We start from the raw sequence: 6,992 nt of genomic DNA, 5'->3' as shown, positions 1-6,992 counted from the left end.
GAGGAGAAGGGGAGAAGAGGGATGAGAGGGACAGGAGGAGAAGGGGAGAGGCCCCTATGCGGCAGAGCCCATGTCCTACTCCTGCTGTGTGCTGGCTGGTGGCTCTTCCCTCCTGGGCCTCCATTGCTACAGTTATGAGATGGGGATGATGAGAGGCCTGGGGAATGACATCATCTGCCAGTTAGAAAGCATCTGGTTCAAAGGAAGCGTGGATTCTTGCCAGCTGTTTGCTTTCCTTCCCTCCACCTGAGGCCTGTGCTGCAGGGTTTAGAGAAGGGGTGGGGAGCCACAGCCATGTGGTTGTGGGGGCCACTGTGCAGAGAGGATGGGCAGTGTTGGGATGAGGTTGGGCTGGTCTGAGAGGCAGCTGAGGGCTCTCCCCAGTCCGGGGGCTCTCAGGCTGCACTCAGGAAAAGCTCAGGTGGCAAAGCTGAGTTTGTAGGGATAAGGACCAGCCCAGCCTGGCCCAGCACAGGTGCACGGGGCACACACCCTCCCTGGCCTCAGTACTTCCACCTCTGTGTGAAGCTTCCTCCACCCCCACATCCCTCCCTGACCTGCCCCTGCTCCAAGCCCAGCACCGTGTGGTGTCCCACAAGCGGGGTGGCAGCCTGGGCTCTAGTCCTGACCCTGCTCCTCCCAGCAGTGGGACAGCCAGCAAATCCGTCTCATAGCTCCAGGGTCATCACCCTGGTGTGCAAATGGGTTCAGGGCAGCCACCACCCTGCAGTGAGCTGAAGCCCCAGAGACACACCCACATGCCTCTGAGCAGGGTGCTGATCCTGTCCATGGCACCACAGAGTTGCCTGCACAGTCCCCATGTTCAGCCCAAGGGCAGCTGAGCCCTGGTGTCAGGAGGCTGGGTGCCTCACTTGGCCCAGCCACGGACTGATGGACTGACTGCCTCAGTCAAGCCAGTTCATCATCTGCACCTGCTTTTCCAGCAGTCAAATGCAGAGAGCAATAGCGCCCACATTGCTCTGCCAGACAGGTCTGGGCTCAAGCTCGATCAGGCAAGTCCAGGGACCTTGTTAAGATCTGCAGCCTGTTTGCCATTAACCCCCTACCGATGTTGGTTCAGCCTCACAGACACTTCTCGTTTCTCAGGCTCCGGGCTGCAGGTTTGCTGGGAAAATGCTCGGGAGTCCTCAGCCTTCCCGCTCAAGTACAGCCTTGAGTGCTCCCTCCCCTGGGCAAGTCACAGGAGAGGCACCCGGGGGATGCATTTGAAGAAGGGGCTCTTCTGCCAGGGCCCTGGATGTGGGAACAACCTCCCGGTGCCTCCAGGCTCTCCTACTGAATGAAACACTATGTGATGTTCCTCTTGTCACCGAGGCGGGACCAGACAGCGGCCTTCCTGGGCCTGATTCCCCACTCAGCCATGCTGCTTAGTAAGGACTGCAGTTGCCACTGTGCAGAGAAGGCTGAGGGAGCCTCTGCTCCCAGCCACAGCCTTTCACCGCCTGGCGGGGCAGAACTGCTGGACACACACTCCAGCTTCTGAAGACTGAGCGGGACATCGGCCTCATCTGCTTCCTGGAGAAGCAAAATATTCCTGGCCAATCTCCGGTCTCCTCAAGGTGTGCACTTTGCCATTTCTGTCCAGCGCTCTGCCCTTCCAGAGGATGATGGAGGGGCGAGCATGCTGATGGGCCATCTCTGTGTGGCTCATTGAGCCAGAGGGAGAAGGGCGTGTGGGGTGTCCTCAAGGCCATCAGAGTTTGGAGGGCTGGAGAGAAGGAGACTAGTGGGCCAAAGATGGGTCCCCCAAAGATGGGTCCCCAAAAGATAGCCACGTCAAACTCCTGGACCTGTGAATCTTACCTTATTTGGAAAAAGGTCTTTGTGATCACGTTAAGCATCTGGAGCTAGTGAGGGGAAAGGCACTGGTACAGGCAGAAGAGGCAGAGGCAATATGACCCAGAGGCAGAGACAGGCGTGATGTGGCTGCAAGCTACGGAACCCCTGGAGCCCCCAAAGCAGCAAGGGGCAAGGAAGGATTCTCTCTTGGAACCTCGGAGGGAGTGAGCCACCCTCCAGCACCTTGAATTCGGACATGTGAACTTCACAACCGTGAGGAAGGCATTTCTGGGTTTTTCTTAAGCCACTGCGTGTGTGGTAGTTTGTTTTCAACCCGAGGACACTGATGCGGAGATCAATACCACCCAAATATCTAAGTATCCGGGAAGTTCTGTTCTGTTCTGAGCACAGTTCCCATTGAGAGATTTCCCAGCCTGAGGAGCTGTCCTCCATCTACAACAAGCAGCCTTCTGAGCACTGGCCTGAGGACCCCCAAAGCAAATGACCCCGGTTCTGGCAAAGGTGACCCAAGCGTGGGTTGCAGCACCAGCAGGTCCTTCCTGGGGGAGAAAAACCCTGAGCGAGGCCCGTGGGGGGCAGGAGCCAGGCCAGTGTTTCACAGTGTCTGCACCAGACTGGGCTGGTACTCTACATTCCCTCTCCCCTGGGATTTGCTCTCTGCCTGTGCTTTCTGCTAGACAAGGAGAGCACACCCCTGTTCTTAGTGCAAAGTGTTTAGACTGAACAGAAGGAGACAGAGACAAAAATAGAAATGTTCCCATTGAACACCCTTCTCTGGCAGCCCCTCGCCCACCTAGAGAGCCCTTGCCAGCAGGGCATGGTGGCTCATGCCTGTAATCCCAGTGCTTTGGGAGGCGGAGGCGGGCAGATCACCTAAGGTCAGGAGTCCAAGACCAGCCTGGCCAACATGGTGAAACCCTGTCTCTACTAAAAATACAAAAAATTAGCCAGGCATGGTGGTGCCGGCCTGTAATCCCAGCTACTCGGGAGGCTGAGGCAGGAGAATCACTTGAACCTGGGAGGCAGAGGTTGCAGTGAGCCAAGATTGCACCACTGCACTCCAGCCTGGGCAACAGAGCGAAACTCTGTGTAAAAAAAGAAAAGAAAAGAAAGAAAGAAAGAAAGAAAGAAAGAAAGAAAGAGAGAGAGAGAGAGAGAGAGAGAGAGAGAAAGAGAGAAAGAAAGAAAGAAAGAAAGAAAGAAAGAAAGAAAGAAAGAAAGAAAGAAAGAAAGAAAGAAAGAAAGAAAGAAAGAAGAGAGAGCCCTTGCCACCTGGGGGCACCACCCAGCAGGCCTTCTGTGCTACACATGTCATTCTCACAAGCTCACGCACACGTGTAGTGGTTGTTTCTGCTAATCACTTTTAAAATGTAATATTAGGTCTTGGAGCTGTGCCATGTGAGCAGGTATAGGTCTGCCTTCTCCTTCAGCCCTCTGCCCACTACTTGAAGACGCGGGGAGCCTGGGGGTCACGTCCCTTTACTGATGAGCACTCAGATGGCTTCTGATTCTCACCAGTCCTGCTGAGCCGACCATCCTTTTGTGCCTTGCTGGGCACTCTCACGGGCACTTCTTTGGGATGGGAATTGCTGGCTGATTCCATTGGGACAGATTCTGTGAACGCCTCTCGAGAGGCTGCGCTCATTCATGTTCTCCCTGAGAGTAGGCGGTGCCCTCGCTGGACTGATTGTATCAACCTGCTATGTTTCCCACATGATTGGGTAAAATAAAATACAAACCTCCCCGTCGCTTTAACTTGCATTTCCCTGGTTACTGCTGATGTCGCGCAGCTTTAATTTCACATTGAGAGTTTGGGTTCTTCTGCCCAGAACTGACCACACCTTTGTGTAATTTCCTTTCTTCTTGTTGAATGCTCTTTATATATTATGGGTATTAACCTTTTCTATTTAATTACCCATAAAATAGATTTTCTAAACTGCTGCTGTCTTTTTACTCTTGCTTATGGTGTTTTTTGATCACATACAGAAATGTTTCTTATGGCTTCAAAGATTTAAATATTTTCCTTTAAATCTTGTAGGATTCACACCTTTCTTAGAGGATTTTCTGAGATCCAAAATTTTAAGAGTATTAACCTATATTTTCTTTTTATATCTTTATGCTTTTCCCATCCAAATATGTAGTTTTTCAATTCACCTGGAATTTATTTTTGAGTACGATGTGACATACTCATTTAAATTAATGTTTTAATGCAAATGTGTTTCTGATCATCTGAACACAGATTGAGTACCTCATCCTGTCCTTGGTAAGCTAAGATAAATTTCCTATTATAGAATAAATCCCGTGCTTACAGGAGCCTGTATTTGGACTTCTTATCTTTTCTCCTTGGTCTCTCGTCTATTTCTGCACCCACACAGCCTGCTGGTTTCTGCACTGCTTGGCGGTGACATTCCTCACACAGTCTTGCTTCTGCCCAGATCTCCTTGGATCTCCTGCCCCTTCCCCGCTCTGCCTCGTGCCAGCACCTCTGTGCGCCCCCAGGACGGCGTGTGCTGAGTGAGGCAGGTGCAGGCCCACTCCACCTCGGTGGTATCAACAGAACCTGGACGAGGATCCTTCAATGATGGGCACTTGACACCTGGGGTGAATTTGGGCATGAAAGGAGGCTGCATGGGTCAGATTGTACTCCCCCGATTTTATAATGAGGCTCAGAGAGCATAGACTGTTTGTCCTAGGTCACACGTCCTGTGAGGGGCCAGGGCTGGGACGCAGGTGTCTCCACAACAAGAACACAGCAGTGGGGGCCACCACACAGGCTCAAGCCCCCTGCAGCCACTTCCAGCCTGAAGGGTTGTTTGTGAGTAGGTTCTGTTCAATAACTCCATTTTGCAGATGGTAAAACCAAAGCTCAGAGCAGTGAAGTGGCTTGCCAAGGGTGCCAGCCAGAAAATCACAGACTCAGACTCTCAGACACTTGAGGCTGGGTCTTGACCAAAAGACAAAGCTGCTTGCTAGCAGCAGGTCAAGGCACAGAGAATCCAGGGCAGCCCCTATTCGTGACCTGGCCCAATGAGCAGGGCAAAAGCCCAGTGCTGTGTCAACAGACATGGACAGAAAACTCAGGTGGCTCAGAGGTCACCAAGCCCAGCTGCTCATTTGAGTGTACGTGAGGCCCAGGACAGGGGTGCTGGTAGGGGCTCTTGTGAAGAGGTGGAACCTATACTCCAATCCTGCTGCCTCTCCAATCCTGCTGCCTCTCCAATCCTGGTGATCAATTGAGCTCACTAGATTGATCTCGTCTTGGATCAGGTTAGCAGCCCAGCGCACCTTTGATTTTGGAGAGGGTCTGTCCAGAGTTGGTCCAAAAGGTGTCTCAGATAGGGACGTCCACGTGGGAACCAGGTAGATGCAGGGCACACCTGTAAGTGGTGACCAGAAGGGCAGCTGGCCGCGGAGGGACTGCACACCTATACACTGTGCCCATCACCTCCCTCCCCTACACACAGTTCCCATCACCACCCTCCCCTACACACAGTTCCCATCACCCTCACCTACACACTGTGCCCATCACCACCGTCCCCTACACACAGTTCCCATCACCCTCACCTATACACCCATCACTACCCTCCACTACACACAGTTCCCATCACCCTCACCAACACACTGTGCCCATCACTCTCAGCTACACACTGTGCCCATCACCTCCCTCCCCTACACACAGTTCCCATCACCCTCACCTATACACCGTGCCCGTCACCACCCTCCCCTACACACAGTTCCCATCACCCTCACCTACACACTGTGCCCATCACTCTCAGCTACACACTGTGCCCATCACCTCCCTCCCCTACACACAGTTCCCATCACCCTCACCTATACACCATGCCCGTCACCACCCTCCCCTACACACAGTTCCCATCACCCTCACCTATACACCATGCCCGTCACCACCCTCCCCTACACACAGTTCCCATCACCCTCACCTATACACCATGCCCGTCACCACCCTCCCCTACACACAGTTCCCATCACCCTCACCTATACACCCATCGCCACCCTCCCCTACACACAATTCCCATCACCCTTACCTATACACCGTGCCCACCACCACCACCCTCACCTACACACCATGCCCATCACTCTCACCTATACACCGTGCCCACCACAAGCACTCTCACCTGCCTCTGGTGCTCACCCTGATATTGTGTGACCTTGGAGGCTACAACCTGTCCATCTCTATTCCATCATCTGAGATTAGCTGCAACTTCCCCTGCCCTCCTTGTTAGTATTTTGTTGTTATCTCACATATTATTTCCCTGTGTCCATTAACAGAAACCTCTCCTCTCCTGGAGCCAGGAGCTGCAGCCTGACTCCACTGTCTGGCGCCTGCACAGGTGGGCGGGGAACACAGTCCAGGCCAGGAAGGCTGCTCTCCACCCTTCACGGCAGCACCCAGGCTCAGTGATGTCCAGAGACGACAGCCATGTGTGGTGTCTTTAGGCCAAATTCAATGCAAGCCCCATTTTCTCTCTGCCAGAGAAGATGCCTCACTCCTGCCCTGATTAAGGTGTCTGATCCTGAAATCAATTTTTTGGCTCCTGCACAGCCACAAGCAGAAGTGACAGGAGCTTTATTGAATCGTGCCCTTCACACTGAGCGGATTGGATAAGTGGGCGCCAAACACTTAGCACAGCTCTCTCCCTCTCCCCTGCACACAGGGGCTGAGGTTCAGATGACATGCAGGCTTCTCTGCAGAGGGCACAGCTGTGCCAGCAAAGCCACCTGAGCAATCTCAGAAGGCGGCATGGTCACAAATGTCATTGTGTTCAAATGTGTGTCACAGTCCTCACATCCTGAATCTGCACTGAAACCCACCACCACCTTTCCAGGCCACTGTGCACTTCACAACCCTGCTCTACCCCTAAGAACAAGACCACCACCCTCACCTGCCCCTGTGCCCATCACACCCTCACCTGCACATGGTGCCCACCACCCTCCCCTGCCCCTGTGCCCACCACCACCCTCACCTACACATGGTGCCCACCACCACCCTCACCTGCCCCTGTGCCCACCACCACCCTCACCTACACACGGTGCCCACCACCACCACCCTCACCTACACACAGTGCCCACCACCACCCTCACCTACACACGGTGCCCACTACCCTCACCTGCCCCTGTGCCCATCACACCCTCACCTACACATGGTGCCC

The 6,992-nt window shown here is 53.7% G+C and overlaps 1 annotated feature.

Annotated features, from left to right (window-relative positions):
- Positions 5,249-5,750: an enhancer, noted in NCBI's record as "H3K27ac hESC enhancer chr8:142955329-142955830 (GRCh37/hg19 assembly coordinates)". NCBI's record gives its function as "activates a minimal SCP1, AML or CMV promoter by ChIP-STARR-seq in primed H9 embryonic stem cells {active_cell/tissue: H9 hESC(primed)}" and the evidence as "EXISTENCE:reporter gene assay evidence [ECO:0000049][PMID:30033119]".

Source organism: Homo sapiens, chromosome 8 (assembly GCF_000001405.40).
Source record: "Homo sapiens chromosome 8, GRCh38.p14 Primary Assembly".
Lineage (NCBI taxonomy): Eukaryota > Metazoa > Chordata > Mammalia > Primates > Hominidae > Homo > Homo sapiens.
This window is presented reverse-complemented; position numbering and strand designations above follow the sequence as displayed.